The following is a 20634-nucleotide window of genomic DNA, read 5'->3' on the forward strand; positions in this document are numbered from 1 at the left end:
GGGAAAACTAGTTAGCAGTTTCAATGGGTATGTAATAAAACTCATTTTATTCACTTAGGTTTTATTCATTCTATTCATTTCAAGTTTCTATTAAATAAAAATAGGACTAAGTATAAAGCTCTGTTATTTGAAAGGTCTCTCAAACTCCATACATGATACTGTCTTCATACTATTTTAAGTTTATTATCGCATATCAGTATATTGGATATACAGCATATCAAAGTATGTTAACATCTCAAATCAATCAGAGTTTAAGGTTTACATATCTGGCTCACCCATATGAAAGGTTCTGAAAATAAATAAAACAAAAACACCTATGAACAAGCAAACAGATATTCCAAAGCCTCTTAAATAAGCAGCATCTCCTGGATTCTCAACTAGAACTCATGCACTCATACTTGGCATACATACCTCATATGTTTGGATATCCATTAGATAATGACTACTTTCATTTGCATAACACTCCACTTTCTAAAACATTTTTACAGATTTAGACCATTCATATTCATTCTTTCATTCAACAAGTATTTATTGAGCTCCTTCTGTGGACAAGGTACTACTCTAGAATGGGCACACAGAAGTTAAAAAACAAAGTCCCTGCTCTAGTGGAGTTAAAGTATTCAGTTGTATGTGTGTTGCAGAATGGGGTGCACAGGAAGGGCCACCAGCAAACAGACAAATATAAATGCTTAAAATATCCAAAAATTAATCAACTGATAATAATTGGAGAATAAACAGTACATACCACAACCACAGGAACTCTGAGAGTACTGTTCCAATAAGGCCATTAATGATAATGCACATTAATACTACTTTATTGGGAAACTCGAAGTCCTCAAATCCAGTATAATGAAGTAAAAAGAAACCTGGCCATAAGAGCAGCAGATTAAACAAACCTACAAAACCTGAACATGTATAAAAGAGACAAGAGTTAAAATTGATTTATTTCTATTTTCCAAGCTTATTAACTCTAAAATCAAAATTAGATTTTGCACAAAAGCACTCTGGGAGGTTTCCTTAGCTAAAACTTCTGTTGGTTTGTTTTTAAGTCAGTCCTGTGAATAGCTCAACGCCATAGAAAAAAAAACTGTCTGAAGCAACTGGTGATCACTCAGTTCAACTACCCACATTGTATGGGAGCAACTACTATGGAATAAACCACTTAGGACAACTCAACAAGAAGGGTTGTTAACCTTAGCTACTGATAATATAGTGCCCTAGAACTTAAAAGAAATAACTGGTATGTATGTGTTTGTGTACTCAGCCTAAATTAATTTTGAGGAATTAGATGGTTTGCTCTCTGATTCAATTATTTATGTCCAAAACACTTGTGCTTTGCGAGCAATAATGGAAGAAGGTTCCAAAGGAGATAAAACTCTTGGTTCCTGCATTCCCAGACCTCTAACTAGTTAGTGAGAAAGTATGTACACACAAAGAGCTATTCAACGTATGAGCAAAGTACAGACTGACTAGTGGTTAAGTGTGTGCTCGGCCATCTGACTGCCTGGGTCCAATCCCAGCTCTATATATCACTCAATAGTAGTGCAAGCCTTATACCTCTTTAAGCCTCAGTTTTCCAATCTATAAGCATAAAATAACATTTAATAATATTTAATTAGGTTGCTGGGAAGATTAGACAAAACACATAAAATATAGCATAGTATCTGGCACATGGTAAGCACTTAATAAAAGTTAGCTAATATTATTATAGAAATTAAGTTTATATATGACTATATACATGTAAAAGTAAAGAATATAAAGAAAAAAGATTACAATTCTATAATAAATTTTGTTGTACTTCCTATACAGTTTATGTCACAAATTTGCTATATGATTTATGTAACTATATAGCTTTCTTAAAAGAAAATTAAATTACAGTAGATATATAATTGATACTTACTATGTCACCTAAATAATAAACCAGTCATTAGGATGCCTAGTTAAATCTTAACAGGGCAGGAGCACCCACTCTCTGTCTGATGCTAAAGACTCACAGCCACCCCACTTCTGTGAAGGGGGGCAAATAAGTCTGCCTTTCCCAGCAAGTTCCCACCCTCCACTCCACCCCATCTTCTGCAGCTCATGACTAATTGATGGAGGCTTTACGAGGCCAGCCATCACGACTCAAGGCCCAGACATATTAGCTGCTCTCCCTCTGCTCCCCGCCTCAGTACCTGCAATGAATTGGGCCAAACCTCAGTTATACTTGTGCGCCACACGGTTCTTTCCCCTTCTCTATCTTGCTTCCTTCACTGCAAGTTTTTCCTTCAGTGAACTCCCCACAAAAAATCACCCACACAAATTCCCCATCTCATATCCTGTTTTAGGGAGCCCAACTATTATGGTTTGGCTCTGTGTCCCCACCCAAATCTCATCTTGACTTGTAATCCCCACGTGTCAGGGAGGGACCTGGTGGGAAGTGACTGGATCATGTGGGTGGTTTCCCCCATGCTGTTCCCATCATAGTGAGTTCTTACAAGATTTGATGGTTTTAAAGTGTTTGGCAGTTCCCCCTTCTCAAGTTCTCTCTCTCTTGCCAGTGTGTAAAACATGCCTTGCTTCCCCTTCACCTTACGTCATGATTGTAAGTTTCCTGAGGCCTCCCCAGCCATGCAGAACTGTGAGTCAATTAAACCTCTTTTGTTTATAAATTACCCAGTCTCAGGTAGTTCTTTATAGCAGTGTGAAAACAGACTAATACACCAACTTACATCTATTGATTAAAAAAACAACAACAAAAGAACACATATACAGCAAGGACACGACCTAAAATGCTTAAATAACATTACAAAGTTGTTTTAATGAAACACCAAAACGTGGCATTACCAAGATCTAAATCTATTTTCTAGTCCCTGAAGTGCTGAGTCTATGAAATCCCACGTAAATTAACATCCTTTGACCTAGAGACAAAAGTCCCAATGACCCCACCTATTCCCTCGACTGCCCAGAATCTGGCGCCACATGCCTTTCTGTTCTTCTTCCACAAAGCGAAGTTCCAGCACAATCATTCAGATCTACTCACTGCTCCCTGTTAAGCCTCTGCTCACACTCCCTTGCCTGAAGAGCCCCCAACATCCCAATCCTAACTTCTCCGAATCCTGTCTATTCTAAAGCCCAGGGCAGATCAATATTGCTTTACATATCACATCACATATGAACAGGACCAACACAAGCCACATGTCTATATGCACTCTCCCTAATATGAGTAAATTAAGCAATTTTTCTTGCAAGTTGTCAATGTATAAATTTTTAAAAAGTACCACTGACCCAACCACCTACCTATAACACTAAAAAAAACTAGCATTTTATTCCATTCCAAATAAAATTTTCTATGACTCTCAAATAAAATATCATTAAAATTATCTTTTCTTTTTTAAGAGACAGCATCTTACTCTGTTACCCAGGCTAGAGTGCAGAGACACAATCATAGCTCACTGCAGACTCGAACTCCTGGACTCAAGTGATTCTCCTGCCTCAGCCTCTCATGCAGCTGGGATTACAAACACATGTAACCAAACCTGGCTATTATGCTATATTTCTTGAATTCTATATTTAAAAAGAATTTAAGCAATCATTCAGCCTCATGGCTTTTCAAACATTTTATTTTTGTTAGTCTTTAGGTACAAGTATTTAATCTATTTTTAGTTTTAAAATAGTTTTAAAATAGTCTTTTTTTAAAAAAAATTAAATAGAAATGCAGTCTCCCTATGTTGCCCAGGCTGATCTTGAATCCCTGGCTTCAAGCAGTCCTCCTGCCTCAGCCTCTCAAAGTGCTGGGATCACAGGCGTGAGCCACAATGCCCAGCCATAAGAAAAATCTTTACTATAAATTAAATTCTAATGCAAAATGCTCAACAAAGTAGAGCTGTTCCACAGGTGAAGCAGCAAAGGAGTCCAAGAACTAGACCCCTGCATGCAACTGTATTTCCTTCCAACCATCCCAGAAGCCTACCTATTCCCTAAATCACAGTTTAGAGGCCATTCATCTAGTCCAATTTCCTCATATTTCAGATGCCTATGAGATAAATAAAGTTACAACAGCTGGATTCCAGGTCTCCTGACTCCTTGTAAGCTGCACTTTGAACTCTTATCATGGAGCTTCTTTATCTATTTATATTCAGATATCTTTTGAAAGATTATCTTGTCAATGTGTTCTTCTCCAGTCCTACAGATATCGCAAGTTCTTTCCTGAACTGATGTCAGGCAAAGGAAAATTTATAAACCATATCCAGAAACTATAATTGGGTAATTTGAGAATGAATCTATGTTATAAAAGTGTCTGTGTCTTAAAGATAAAATGCAAATGAAAAGCATTTAAATGGCCCACAATTTTTAATGTACATAAGTACATAGACTGCGACAGCATTAAACATATAATTCGGGGGCAGTCTCCCCAGTCCTTTGCTAACTATTCAAAAATGGCAAAATGTAAAATACAGCAGGTAAACTCTCACATGCTTGTAAGAGCATAAATCTGTCCTATCAGTGAGATAAATATCTGACTTGCAGTCTGAAGACATCAATTTGAAAAAAGTGTTAGGAGTTTCTTTCTGTCTCACACTGAGGAGATGGGCACTCCCTCATAGGTGCACAACTATGCAGGATAAAGTAAGGAAAACATTGGGACTGGCCTTCATAATCTTTAAATGGTTTTAAAGAATCATACGGAAGAAAAAAAAAGGCTTCCCTATTCCCTCTGAAAAACAAAAGCAAAACCCTGTGTTAATCATTTAGAGTAAATAGCCTCCCAAGTTACATATATTCTTACCAAAGAACATTGGAATATCCAACTTGTCTTCTCTATCTACTTTTCTCTTAATCATAACAATATAGACAGCATAGAGCATGGCTCCAGCAAGAGACCAAATGGAACCTGTAAAAATGGACATGATTTAAAGCAATCACTCATTAGCTCATTCAATATACGCTTAAAATCCAATAATGTGTCAGATAATATTGCAAGAATATACAAAAGTGAAAAGATATATAATGATATAAATCACCTTTATATTGATATAAAGATATATAATGAAAAGGTATAGCCTACCCCATCCAAGTCTTCTAGGAGTACAGGAAGGAGTTTAATGTGTTAACAAATAAATGCAAAAGCATTCACCTCAATGATTCGACCAAAACCTATACATATTATAATAATACAACTCCAAAGTAACACTTTGTTTTTAATTTAGAAATGCATGTTTCTTATTTTACCCTACCTAAACAATCTTGACACCTGGCATTTTCCAACTTAACAAATTTTTTTTCCATCACTAAGCTGTTGCTTGTATTGTCTTCCTTACCCCCATATATCATTCTTAATATGTATTGCACTACCACTCCCATCTTAAAGGCTCTGTTAAAGTTCCATTTCTTCCACAAAGCATCCTCTTTCTAATCGGCTGTATTTCTGTCCTGTCTTCTGTTTTAGACAATACTTACTATTGTCAAGTGTGGTATTAGTTTAATCCCTAGTAGCTTCATTTTATAAATCTCATATTGTTCCAAATCAAGAACTCCTTGAAAACTGCAAACACATAATTTATACTTTTTAATGTTCCAAAACAGCTAACATAATACAGATCTCACAGTACATGAATAATAAATACTGATTCTCTTTATTAACTCTCAAAACCATTTAAACTTTTCAAAACAGCTAAATAATGTTCTGCCAAGTGGTCATATTCAATACTTTAATCAATTATTCAAAAGACGAATGTTTTATTAAATTTTTTTTATTATTTTCAAACTTTTTTTAAAGCTAAGGAAAAGCCTGTCAACAAAATCTTGCATACACATGCACATACCAAATACATATATTGTTTTATATACACAAAGCTGCTCTGGGTGAGAAAGAGGTGAGGAGGTTCAAAGCACAGCTCACTGGGTAGTAGCTAGGAACAATTTAGAAAGCATTGTTCTATTCAATAAACCTCAAATATCTAAAGAAGTATTCAAAGAGAAATAATTAATCTAGGTTTATTTTTTATTATGAGGTCTCACTATGCTGCCCAGGCTGGTATTGAACTCCTGGCCTCAAGCGATCCTCCCACCTTGGCCTCCCAAAGCACTGGGATAACAGGCATGAGTCACCATGCTCAGCCCAGCTAGGTTCTGATTACTTTTGTTTTTGTTAAGTCTAAGCAATGGATCAAAATCTAAGTGTTCACCATAGCAGTAACTATGAATCAAGAATCAAGAGTAAATGGCAATATTCGTGGGTGAAGATATGACAGCAACAGGAAATTTGTATAGCCTCAAAGTATCCCCCACAAGATGCTTATTACTTACAGTGGGAAATATTAGTAACTTTACACTGGAGTAGGGTGGTTAATTTTAACCACCTTAAAATTAACATTACCAGCAACAGGACAAATCAATATCATGTGCCTTTTGGTAGAATGCACTGATCAGGAAACAATATCACTTCCATTATATTCTTACCAAAAATGCACAACCTCAATTTAACCAAAGAAAATGTCAGACAAATGCAAATTGAGGAACATTCTACAAACCAACTAGGTGGTACCCTACAAAAGTGTCAAGGTCATAAAAGACAAGAAGACTGAGGAACACTTCTGCATTTAAAGGAAACTAAGGAAACACGACAATTAAATGCAATAAATGATCCTAGATCAGAAAAAGAACATTAGTGGAAAAAGTGGCAAAATTTGAAAAGGCTTTATAGATAACAGTATCATAATCAACGTTAATTTCTGATTTTTATAACTGTATAATATTTATGTAAGTTGTTAACATTTGAAAAATCTGGGTGAAGGCTATGAGAATTCACTAAACTATTTACGCATTTTTTTATGTTATTTCCAAAGGAAAAGTTCAAAAAAAACCCACCCTGCTAGTGCCTACCCTTTGTGCGTTCATCTGTGCACATGAGCACGCACATGTAACTTTCTTATTTACTCTAACAGAGAGAATCCAGAGTCCAGTACTTACCTACTGTGTCTCTTCCAGCAGGTTTTTCAGACCCTGCCAGGTTTACCAGTACAACGCCTCCAATGCTATGAGAATAACAGTCATTAATGATGAGCTAAAGAATTCTGAAAAGCCTAATCATGAAGATAAAAATTATTTATAAGTGATCAAGACTAATCTCAACTTTGGGTAAAACTATCAAATAATTTAGCAATTTCAATAATAACATCTAACAACATCAATATAATAATATAGTGTTATATTTGTATTAACTCATTTAATCCTCACAAAATGTACAATATTATACCTTATAAGGAAGTGTTATTACTGCCATTCCCATTTTACATGTGAAAGCTAATACACAAAGAGGTAAGGTAACTTGACCAAGATCACATAGCCGAGACTGAAATACAGGCAGTTTTACTCCAGAGTCCAGTGCTTTTATGTGCTATGCTATCCACTATCTTTCAGTTAAGAATGAATTAACCAACTTGTCATCCCTTTCCAATCTTTCTTTTGGATTATAAAATTATATCAAACCCATATAAATCCAGCAATAGTACTACTCTTGCTTATTGGTAAAATCTAAATTAACAGTAAAACTATCCTTACGTGCTTAAACAATTTCACTAATCTCATGATTTTAGTGGATAAAAATAAGACTGAATTAAGGATGTAGAGATATCAGAGGTCATTCATAAACTCAATTGTTATTTTCTGGGCATCTAATATGGGCAAAGCACTGGGTTACAGAAGTGAACAATACAGATGTGGTTCCTGTCCTCAGGGAACTCTTTGCATTGTCTATTTCTATGAATCTTATAAATTGTAACACGTTTTCAAGTAGATGAGATATTGCTAATTAAAAAAAAAAATTAGCCTAATTCTCTCACCCTGATGAGAAAGACCAGTGTGGCAGTGGGAGAGGAAGATGAAAGAAAATATGTATTCCCTTATGGAAAGATGTCATCAGAACTCAAGTGCAGTCCTTACACTAAATATGCAAACCCTTCAATTAAATCATCCCAATTTTCTGTAATAATCACTGTTCATATTCAGATTCAGCTATTATTTATTGAGTATCCACAATTTATTAGAAACCAGGGATTTTGTTTCCATTTAAATGATGATGATTATGATAATGGCTAAATATAGTGAGCACCTCCTGTTGTGTATCAGACATTGTTCCAAGCACTTTACAACTTCTACTCATTTAATCCTCATAATAATCCTATGAGAGAAATCCTATTATTATCCCCAATATACAGACGAGAAAATTGGCACAGAAATGTAAGGAACTTGTTCAAGATCTCAAAACTAGTAATGATGGAGATGGGATTGGATTCCAAGTTGTTTGGCTTGAGGCCACACTCTTGTCTCTCAATTGATGAAATGAGATTTCTTTGCTTAGATTCCCTTCAAGATTGTTGTTATGTAAAATTCTTTTTATAGCCTCAGAAATTGAATCTCTTAGTAAAATGCCAATTCAAAACAAAATATTAAACAATGTTTAATACATAATTCTTAAGAACATATACTTACTCAAAAAATTTCTAAGTAACACTTTTTTTTAAAGGTACAGATAGTAAATATTTTAGGCTTCTGGGCCACATGGTATTGCAATTCAGCTCTGCCTCTGCAGTGCTAAAATGGCCATAGACAATTTGTAAATAGATGAGAGTGGCTGTGTTCTAATACAATCTTATTTACAAAACCAGCAGCTGACCCAACATAGTTTGCCAACCTCTGTTCGTCTACCTACTTTAATGAGAAGAAGTAATGTACTCTGTCAAAATACTTACAAGTTCAATATTTTATATCCATTTCCTTCTTTATCAAGTCTTTATTAAGATAACATGAAGAAAAGTTATAAATTAGCACATATTTTAAATAAAGTTAAATAAAACCTCATTTACTTCTCCAATACAAACATATTTCCCTAATGCAAAAATTTGCTCGGCTTAAAACATTAGTAAATCATGTAAAAGAATAAATCCCTAGTGGCCATAAAGTCTAAATGGTAAATTAGTTGGATCAACCAGCTGCCCATTGGAGCAACCGTGGTTAATTTACCCTTATAACTAAAAAAGAAAAACATTTAATATTAAGAGCTACCAGTTTTCTATGATTGCCCAATACCAGACACTTCATAGCTATTACCACTAAACTTTAAAACAAGGCTGCAAGGTAAAATAGATAATATCATTTTCTCAACTAGGAAACCCTTTCAGAGTTTAAGAAAACTGCCCCAGGGCAAACAGCAGAGCTCTTATTCAATCTCAGCTTTGATAACCAAGAAACACTACTCTCCATCAAATCATCCTGCTACCTTCTCTGATTTTGTTTCATAAAATAAGTTTTATTAAACCAACACATCTTTTTTCAATACTGTCTATGGGCAAAGCCCTATGCTAGGTCTTTGATGACACAAATATAAAACAAGGCTATGGCCTTCAAGGGTTTACAAACCAGTATGGAAGACAAAACAAACATACATAAAGTTAAATTAAAATATTTAAGTATAGTTATCAGCAACACTCATATTATGCAGTAGTGCAAAACTGCCAAATGAATTATACAGAAAATAACTGAAACATCACCTGAGGCTTAGACAATTAGAGAAAACTGAATGTTAGCTTTCTAAGAGAAGTAGAAAAAGGAGAAATAAAAATCAAAACAAAGAGGGGAAATTGCCTTAAGAAAAAGAAATAGAAACTTGGGAGATTATGAGGATTAAGCTGCTACATTAAGTGTGAACGTCAGTCCAATACTTGATGAGTCTGCAGACACATGAATGGGAACCAAAGCAGCCTTGGGGTTTTCCCTCTGGTTACCCTACCCAGGAAGGTTTAGAAACCTAGTGCAGGATGTGACAGGGCTAAGTAGCATCATGTCCACTTAAAGCCTTCTTTTATCCACATCTTTCTTTGCTCTTACAATACAAACTACCCTGGTGCCACTATCAGAAATTGTAATATTGTATTTTTAAGCAGAGCAAACTAGCTATCACACTATATGCTTACCTTAAAATTACAGCTAATAGTTTAGAAAGGGTAAATCTATCTCCACTGTTACTTGGAAATACTGCAGCAAGGATTAAGGTAAAAAGTCCTATGAGGAGAAAAGAATTTAAAAATGGTACATGAGTTTAAATACTGTCAACATTTTTACTACCAACTTCATTGTTTAAATAAGCAAATTATATACCTACCTTTCAAATTATTTTTGTCACTCTTAACTAAGAAAATGACTGCAGTTAAGTAATGACTAGACTGAAATGTTTAAAGTTCATGCATAAAATAGCCTCCAAACTAAACCATGTTTATTTCAACAGTACAGATCAAGTACAGTCCTATTTATTTTAAACTAATAGGAAACTTAAATCTTATTCAGAGTAACATGCTGACTTCATCATAATCAAGCCTGTGTCCCTAAAGTTATTTTTATAGCTTTAAAAATACTTTTGTCTTCCAGATTTGAAAGGTGATTCAATCTTAAAAATAAAACACCTATCATAGGGCAAATTATAGTTCTGAAATAAGCAATTACATTTTAGCCAAAGGGTCTAGAAAAAGATCTCTGGAAAGGATGTGTGAAGGGAAAGGCAACTACAATACAAAAGGCCAGCCTATAAAACTGTAATATGTTGTTATATAAAAAATATTGTAAAGTATTTGAAGGAACATAAATAGCACAGGCTAAGGCATGAAACTACAGTCATGCTTAACAACAGGGATAAATACAGAGAAAATGTGTGTCGTTAGGCAATGTCATCCTTGTGCCACCATCATAGAGCATACTCACACAAACCTAAATGGTATAGCCTACTACACAGCTAGGCTATATGCTATAAGCCTATTGCTTGTAGGCTACCAACTTATATGGCATGCTACTGTATTGAATACTGTAGGCAACTGTAACACAATGGTAAGTATTTGTGTATCCAAACATATTTAAACATAGAAAAGGTACAGTAAAAATACAGTATTATAATCTTATGGGACCACCATCATATATGCAGTCTGTTGTAGACTGAAACATCATATGCAGCACCTGACTGTATACAGATTAAAAGGCAGTTGTAATAGACTAATGTATATTAGAACTAATGTAAGAAGCTATAACAAGATAAAAATGTTGTACATGTACACACATATATACCAGAAATACATACACTGATTTATAATGCAGATTTTTAAAGACAAATTTCTTACCGGAAGTTGAAGATAAAATATTAACTATAGCAACTTGTGTGTCTGAAAGTGCTTCTTGATATGACAAATTTGCCAAAAACCACTAAAGAAAAAGAAAACCAAAGTGAACCCTAATGAAAGACATGTTTACATCTGTCATTACAATTCAGAATTCCCTTTTTTGTTCTCCTCCTAAATACCGTTCTCACAAGATGTTTTAAAAGCTGCTTTGTATTGAAAAAATCACAGGCTCCCAAAAAAGACAAACATTTATAATCAGACCTAAGACCATGCTACCCAATTTCCCTTAAAATTTAACAATAGTTGGTTAACAATTAGCATTCAGGTTTTTTTTTTTAATGAGTAAAATCAAGTATCAAATCAATTTAAAAATTTGCTTTATCTAGGCTGCGCGTAGTGGCTCATGCCTGTAATCCCAGCACTTTGGGAGGCTGAGGTGGGTGGATTGCTTGAGCCCAGAAAGACCAGCCTGGGCAACACAGTGAAACCCCATTTCTACAAAAAAAAAAAATACAAAAATTAGCCAGGCGTGGTAGTGCACACCTGTAATCCCAGCTACTCAGGAGGCTGAGGTGGGAAGATTACTTGAGCCTGGGAGGTTGAGGCTGCAGTGAGGCATAACTGCCTCACTGCACTTCAGCCTAGGTGACAGAGAGACCATTTCTCAAAAAATAAAAAAATCGCTTTATCTAAGTACTGCTGACACTCTGTTAAGTTTATCTAAATCATATTTAAATTTGAGAAAATTCTCCAACATTAGAATATATACAGATGAATACAGCATAATGAGAAATCTATTAAACCAGATGATGTGCATGGATATGGATGGACCTAGCTAGCTAGCTGGATTGAAAAAAGGCTATATTCACTTTGGAAATTTAGAAATGTCCTATGAAAATGATAATTTATTGATTAATTGTGATTGCTTTTCTGAATCTCAGTTTGGAAACACAACCCAAAGAGTTCTCATAACTTTGGATACAGTGAAGGAAGTTTTCCAGCTATCAGGACTTTTTTTAAAAAATTCTTTCTTCTCTTCCACTTATCTAGGTTAGGATGGAGAATAAGAAATAATGCTTTTTTTGATGAAGGTTGGCAGGATGTGTGTGTGTCCAAAGTTCAGTAATTTTCACTGATAATTCATCCATTTTTTTGTGGATAACACTTTTTTACTATCTGAAACAATGCTACTATGAATATCTTAATTCTAGTACACACCTGCCACCTGGTGCATAAGTACATGAGTGTCACCAAAGCATATACTAAGAGGTAGATTGCTGGGTCAAGCAAACTAAACTAATGGCTAGTTTTTGGTGTCTCTGTTACTTACACTGGTTGACTCGAAGAGTTATTCCACCAAATGACTTATTTCTATTAAGAGAAGAACATCTCTCGATCTCTCTCAGAGCTTGTGGCTGAGTAGTTTTACACTAGTATTTACATTGCAAAGAAGTAGTAGAGACACATGATTGTAGAGCACTACCAGAACACAGCAGATGGCTGAGAGCCTAGTAGTCTCCATTCAGTCCATACTGTACTCAAGGCTAAAGCCAGAATGAAACTGTGGCAACGTGGTTCTGATTCCATCTGCAATCCTTTGATTTCCTAGATAATTTCACATGCCTATCTAGATAAAATGAGTTAACAATTGATGGGCAATATCAAACATATATGGCAAGAGAAGCCACAATCTGCATGCCGATGAAGTGCTAGAAAAGAAGATTCGACCCTTAATCTTATCTGTCAAAGATTTTCTCCATGAACAGATAATGCTCACAGAGTGATTATTAGCTTTCTTGACCCACTTCTCTTACTATTTTTATACTTAAATATTGTGCTCATTTTCCAAACAACCTCACTGGTCCATGCTAATGCAAGGTAAATAAATAAAAACAGATCACTTAGATAAGAAGCATTCAAAGGTCCCAAGAATCCTTCATTAGCTGTGAATTCTTTCCAGAATAACCTTCCCATTCTCTACCTCTCCCCAAACTCCATTCTCTGGCTCTTGTTTCCACAGCACCCTCATCACCAAAGAAGACCCATCTCAACCATCCTCCAATAGAAATTGTCCATACAACGTCTCCCTTCATTATTTCAGAGTTGAGGATAACCATTTATGAATAATTATAGCAAATAATTAATATATTTCATAATTTCATTAGTAATTCATTTTTAAATTGTCATAAAATGTTAATATTTGATAAAAATAGTGTATGTTCAAGGTATATAACATGATTTAATATACACATGACATTGTCTACTGATTACCATAGTCAAATTAATGAGCACATCCATCATCATCCATAGTTACCATTTTTCTGTGTGTATATGTGATGAACACACTTAAGAATCTGCTCTTATCAAATTACAAGTAAAGAATATAGTACTGTTATCTGAAGTCTCCATATACATTAGTTCCCAGAACTTATTCATCTTATAATTGAAATTATGTACTCTTTGACCAACACGTCCCCATTTCCCTACCATTCTACTCTCTGGCAACCACCATTCTACTCTTTCCTTCTTTTTTAGATTCTACATACATAAGTGAGATCATATTTGTGAGTATTTGACATTCTATGCCTGGCTTATTTCATTTAGCATAATGTCTTTCAGGTTTGTCCATGTTGTTGCAAATGGCGGATTTCCTTCTTTTTAGAGCTGAATAATATTACATTATGTTCAGCCATGAAAATGTACTATATATATATTCATCCATCGATAGACACTCAGGTTGTTCCCGTATCTTGTCTATGATGAACACTGTAAAATAAACATGGAGGTACAGATGTCTCTTTGAGATACTGATTTCATTTACTTTGGATATGTAGTAAGAGATATTCTTGATAAAGCCAGTATCACCTAAATTACATTTTACAGAAAAAAAAAAAACAACCTAGTAAGACAAAAGATATTCAAAGAAGACTGGCAAATACAGTAATCATTAACTCCTTTTGATCTACACTGTCCAGTACATTAGACACTAGCCACACATGGCTACTGAGCAATTGAAATTGGCTGGTCTGAATTGAAAAGTGCTTTAAGTATAATGCATACTGGGTTTAGAAGATTTTAGTACCAAAAAAGAATGTAAACTATCTCATCAATAATTTTTACATCAATAATATGTTGAAATAATATTTTTACATATAGTGGGCTAAATACAAATATAATATTGAAATTGATAACATCTGTTTCCTTTTCCTTTTTTAAATGTATCTACTAGATAATTTAAAACTATGTTTGTGGCCTGCATTTGAGGCTCATGTTATATTTCTATTGAACAGCACTGCTCTTAACCTTATCTAAAGCTTATCATTCTATTAAGCTAGGTTTCCAAAAAGCTAGTTTTCTCTCAGTATCTGCAGGGGATTGGGTTCAGGATCCCAACCCCAAAGGTATCAAAATCCAAAGATGCTCAAGTCCCTTATATAAAATGGCATAGCATTTGGATACAACCTACACACATCCTCCCATATACGTTAAATCATCTCTAGATTACTTGTACCTAAAACAATGTAAATAGTTGTTGTGCTATTGTTTTTCAATCTCTATTATTTTTATCGTTGTATTGCTATTCTTCTATTTTTTCACCTTCATTATTTTTGATCTGCAGTTGGTTGGATCCAAGGAGGGAGAACTCAAGGATTTGGTGGGCCAACTGTATGTCTGGACTATATTCCTCTGACTTCCCAAAGAAATGCCTTTATTTTAGTGATAACTTGATTAATAATATTCTGCTATGTAAATCAAAAGAAAATCTTTGGGATTTGTAGTATGATAATTACGTATGTAATAAAAATAGTTTAAAGTCTCACATATTCATGTTATTAGTTGGGATCTCTGTTTGCTTGTTTTAAATGAGTGTCAGGCAGGACTAAAATGTATTAATTATATGCTACCCAGTTTTCAAAGGAGATGTGTAATAAAAGCATCTATAGTTGACCCTTGAACAACATGGAGATTAGGGGACAAACCCTCAGGCAATAAAAAATCTGCTATAACTCTTGACTCCCCCAAAACGTAACTACTGATAGACTACAGGTGACTGGAAACCCTACTAATAACATAAGTAATGATTAACAGGTATTTTGTATGTTGTATGTATTGTATACTATATGCTTACAATAAAGTAAGCTAAAGAAATGCTATTAAGAAAATCATAAGAAAGAATATATTTACGACTCATTAAGTGGAAATGAATCATCACAGAAAGGTCTTCATCCTCGTCATCCTCATGTTGTGTAAGAAGGCTGGGGAAGAGAAGGGATTGGTCTTGCTGTTTTAGGTGTGGCAGAGATAGATGAAAATCTGTGTGTAAGCATACCTGTGCAATACAGACCCATGTTGTTCAAGGACCAATTGTAATACGGTAAAAATTAAAACAAGAGTAAAAAGATAAGAGCCAGATTAAATGGGTAATGGAGTGGGAGCTGGCTGTGGAACGTGATGATTGTATCAGAAACTTCAGTTTAAAGGAAGAAAGCTACTTCAGGTGAGCACACAACTCATCCGTAGGCAGAAAGGCAGGGAGGCAATAGGAAAACCCCTGAGTTACACAGCTTATTGTCTGTTAAAAGGAACTATCTCTCTTCCTTGGAAAAAGCAAACGTTTTCCTAACGTAAAACTCTGAGAGAAATGTACTATGTAAATTGTTATGTAATAACACTAGTCTTTATAGCAGATTTAAAGGTATGTGCAGATAATAGTGTTTTTAAAAATTATTTTTTGAAATTACAATATACATAAAATATACCATTTGGATCATTTTTAAGTGTACAGTTAATGGCATAAAGTACATTCACACTGTTATGCAACCATCACCCCATCCATCCACAGGATTTTTTTCTTTTTCTTTTTTTTTGAGACAGACCCTCGCTCAGTCGCCCAGGCTGGAGTACGGTGGCGCCGTATCGGCTCACTGCAACCTCCACCTCCTGGGTTCAAGCGATTCTCCTGCCTCAGCCTCCTGAGTAGCTGAGACTACAGGTGCACACCACCATGCCCAGCTAATTTTTGTATTTTTAGTAGAGATGGGGTTTCACCACATTGGCCAGGATGGTCTCAATCTCTTCACCTCGTGATCCACCCACCTCAGCCTCCCAAAGTGCTGGGACTACGGGCGTGAGCCACCCAGCCTGGCCAGATTTTTTCATCTTATAAAACTGAAATTATCTGTTAGCTCTCTGCTTTCACAATGTATTTTAAGTTGCTATTTTTTAAAGACCATTTATGGTCAAAGTGACCCAAGCATCTATTGACAGAATAATGAATAAACAAAAGATGGTATATCTGTACAATGAAATATTATTCTGCCTTCAAAAGAAAGGAAATTCTGACACAAGTTACAACCTGGATGAACCTGGAGGACATTATGCTAAGTGAAATAAACCAGTCTCAAAAAGACAAATGCTGTATGATTCCACTCAACATGAGGTACTTATGAGTAGTCAAATCCATAGAAACAGAAACAGAATAGTGGTTGCCAGGGGCTGGGGGTGGTGGGAAAGAGGAGCTATTGTTTAACGGATACTTTCAGTTTTATAAGATGAAAAAACTCTGTGGATGGATGGGGTGATGGTTGTGCAACAATGTGAATGTACTTTATGCCACTTACTGTACACTTAAAAATGATCAGGGCCAGGAGCAGTGGCTCATGCCTGTAATCCCAACACTTTGGCAGGCTGAGGCAGGGGGAATCACCTGAGGTCAGAAGTTCGAGACCAGCATGACCAACATGGAGAAATCCTGTCTCTACTAAAAATACAAAATTAGCTGGGTGTGGTGGCGCATGCCTGTAATCCCAGCTACTCGTGGGGCTGAGGCAGGAGAATTGCTTGAACCCAGGAGGCAGAGGTTGTGGTGAGCTGAGATCGCGCCATTGCACTCCAGCCTGGGCAACAAGAGCGAAACTCCATTAAAAAAAAAAAAAAAGATCGAAATGGTATATTTTATGTATACTTTATTATAATTTCAAAAATTAATTCTTAAAAAGGCTATTATCTGCACATATCTTTAAATCTGCTATAAAGAATAGTGTTATTAGTAGAGCCAGGGAATGGAGAAAAATGGGCTATTTTAATGAGTATGAAAGGCAAAATCATGACATTAAAAAAATTTTATAATCAGGCTAATAACATTGACATTAGCATTTCATTGTTTAGGGGTTTAAGATGCTCAGTACAAATTTGAATCTTAAAGGCTCATATTTAAAAAACCTTGGATTAGGCTACTTCCAATGATGTACACATAAAATATCACAGAAATTCATTTTTTAAATTCTACATGTTAGAGTTCTAACTCAGACAAGTCTCTAATCCCAGCTTAGCCCAAAATAACAATACTTTATTTACTCCATCATTATTCTATGTGAAATCTTAAGCACAGTTTTCAGTTTCTATCTTTAAAAAGAAACTATAAATAATACAACCAGAAATTCTGTAGAAATATACTGAGTACTTGACAAAATAATACTTAACCTCATTTATATGAATATAAAACTGCAAAACACTTATTTGAAAAAAATCAATGCATACAGTAAACTCTTATCTGGATATTTACTAGCCTTTGTATATACATATATCACAGTGTAAAATAACTCTATTCATAATTTTGAGCATGAGGCAATGCTAAATTCTGAAGAACTTCCCAACCTGTGTGTGTTTGTAAGTTTGTGTATATATGTAAATAGCTGAAGTGTTATAGGACTTAATGAATTCTAACTCTTTGAGGTATATCAAGCATTTATTAATTTTGATACCCTAACTTCCTACCGGTATCAAATAGCAGAGTTTAAAGTCATGATTAAACAACCTAATTGTCTCACACTTCAATCCTATATTGTTGGTATGTATACAGTCTTAAAATTCAAGTTTCAAACATCATATGCAAACATATCATAAAAGACCTACCACAAAGCAAAAAAAAAAGCTAATTTTCGCTACTTGAGTTGCAGTAAGTTTCCCCACAGTTTTCAGTATGGATTCTTGTTCTTTCACAGGATATGACATGCGAGACAACTTTGCTTCCAATGCATGACTTGACGGAAGCTGTCGAATCTCCATGATATTACTGAACCTCACACGAGACTTTTTGGGGGCTTAAAAGGAAGAGCATAATATGAAATAATTAAATAATTCCTCTCCAACAAAAGTCACAAGTTTTAATTTACTGATAAATGTATAAGTTCATCTATGATCAGAGTAAGACAGTCAAAGTAAACCAAAAAGAGGTATATCATTACCTGAGACAACTTTGTTCACTTAAAAGAGTTAAAAGGAAAAATGATTTCATCTACAAAAATGTTGTAAAAGGTTTAAAATGAGACCAATATTCAAACAAGGTTTCTGCAATTGTGTACTGTATATACATAACTGCCTATTTCAGGATTTTAGTTTGATTTACTATTTTAGTATTCCTAGTAAAACTTTATTTGGATTTTTCCTCACGCATACCCAATTTACGAGAATTAGTTTCTTGGGCAAGCACGCAGAACAATTCTCTATAGGTCCATTCCTTGCAAGGGAAATTAAGGATAAATACTGCACCTTATGTTAAAGGTGGCATTCTTTACTAAATTCACAGAATCAGCAAAACTCTTATAATTTGCTATTAGGCTCTTTGAGGGCATATTTAAGAGGATATTATTTGTTTATATATAAGCGTGTGATGCATGTGTGTATGTGTGTATACATATATATGATGAAACCATAGAGATTTATGGTATTTGGAAATTATTTCCAGTTGAAATAATACAAAAATGATTATACTATATTAGATTCACAATCCAGTCAAACTTCTAGAAGACTATAGGCTGAGTCAAGACCACATGGAGCAGAACTGCTACATGTTTCAGTCAACCCACATCATCACTAAGTTCTGAAGTGGCTTGAATAAAGGTAAACTTTCTACCCATTTCCAAGTTTTGCTTACTTTTTTCAGTATCAATGTTTGTGCTCTCAGGTTTTTCACTTGGAAGATCATGGAATTTCACAGGCACATACAGAGGTTCACTCTGGAATGTAACAGAAAAAAATATAAACAACAAATATAAAAGCTAACATAGTGGTTAAAATTTAAATGGATAGTACGTAGACACAAATACCATCTAAAACGTGGTTGTTCACCACCAAGTTTAAACAGCAATTTTCAAGACTTAAAAAAGGAAACTCAACAGATCCATACAGCTACAATGACAGAAAAGAATCAGTTTACAGTTTAGCAATGTAATGTAACAGCATTGGCATATTATGATATCTAATATTTAAATGTCATAAAAACATATCTCTTTCTTAGCTAACAGATTCCATCTCAGCTAACAGATTCTCTCTCATTCCTTTTCATTCATTTAACAAATGCTCATAGTAGGAGTCTGAGCTCCTACTATGTCAGACGCTGTTCTAAGTCCTGGGGATAGAAGGGTGAATAAAAGCAGTCTCTTCCTCAGTGATCATGCAGTCTAACAGGCAAGGCAGATAACAAACTGATAACCAGGTATATAGTATGTATTTATATTTACTAAATTGTCTCCTCTTATTATGTAAAACTCAATAAAAAACTAAAATTCTTGAAGACCTTTACACAAAATAGCTACTACTTACCAGTTCTTACTGTGTATTGAGTACCAACTCTAGAGCAGTTAAACATATATTTCTCATTAGTACTCACAATAATTTTATAGAATATGGCCGGCACAGTGGTTCAGGCCTGTAATCCCAGAACTTTGGGAGGCGAGGCTGAGGCGGGCAGATCACTTGAGGTCGGGAGTTCGAGACCAGCCTGGCCAACATGGTGAAACCCCATCTCTACTAAAATACAAAAATTAGCTGAGCGTGGTGGTGTGTGCCTGTAATCCCAGCTACTCATGAGGTGGAGGTAGGCAAATTGCTTGAAACCAGGAGACGGAGGTTGTGCAGTGAGCTGAGATTGCGCCACTGCACTCCAGCTTGGGTGACAGAGCGAGACTCCATCTCAAAATAATAATAATATTTATACTTTTAGAGAATAAAGCTGAGGTATAAAGTAATCAGGTAGCAGACAAAACAATTAAAGCCAGGTTTGTCTAACCATGCTCCAAAGGTCCATATTTTTAGGTAGTTATAAATTCCTCAACTGTTTTTGCAAATGTTCTTCAGATGATCTATATTTAAGGTACAAATCTCCAACTAGGCTGATTCTTCAAAATTAACAGAACTTTTTTTTATTTCTTTGATTTCTCTTTTAACTCCTGGTACAGAGCTCTACCAACAACAAAAAAAAATTCAGTAAATGAAGGGACAGTGGGTCTGGAAATAGACATAATCTCTTTGTTACACTGAAGTTTTCATTACGGCATCTGGCCTAGAGCAATTTGACATATCCATCTTACAGATAATAGTAAGAATTAGTACAAGAGTAGCCAGAAGAGCAGGCTGCCATCTCAACTTTGCCCTCTGTACTGATAGAGACAAATGATATTAAATTATTTTATTGATGCTTAAGATCCCA

At 35.0% G+C, this 20634-nt stretch overlaps 1 protein-coding gene across 11 annotated transcripts in view; it reads right to left on the bottom strand.

The window, feature by feature from the left end:
- SLC35F5 (solute carrier family 35 member F5) overlaps positions 1 to 20634 on the bottom strand; it is a 53961-nt gene that overhangs the window by 21951 nt on the left and 11376 nt on the right. For 8 of the 11 annotated variants that reach the window (NR_104470.3, XM_047445926.1, XM_047445923.1 and 5 more), the window contains exons 6-12: positions 19081 to 19162; positions 18060 to 18247; positions 11145 to 11226; positions 9954 to 10041; positions 6952 to 7016; positions 4769 to 4873; positions 746 to 905 (exon numbers count right to left, since the gene is read on the bottom strand). Coding sequence is in view for 10 of the 11 variants with exons in the window: in XM_047445926.1 (XP_047301882.1) it covers positions 746 to 905; positions 4769 to 4873; positions 6952 to 7016; positions 9954 to 10041; positions 11145 to 11226; positions 18060 to 18247; positions 19081 to 19162 (770 nt within the window). In the remaining variant the exon portion in view is untranslated. Of the gene's footprint in view, positions 1 to 745; positions 906 to 4768; positions 4874 to 6951; positions 7017 to 8732; positions 8772 to 9953; positions 10042 to 11144; positions 11227 to 17251; positions 18248 to 19080; positions 19163 to 20634 lie in introns of those variants that run through there. The other 3 variants (XM_017005027.2, NM_001330315.2, NM_001330317.2) reach the window with 2 other exon arrangements.

The sequence above is a fragment of the Homo sapiens genome, chromosome 2 (genome assembly GCF_000001405.40).
Source record: "Homo sapiens chromosome 2, GRCh38.p14 Primary Assembly".
Classification (NCBI taxonomy): domain Eukaryota; kingdom Metazoa; phylum Chordata; class Mammalia; order Primates; family Hominidae; genus Homo; species Homo sapiens.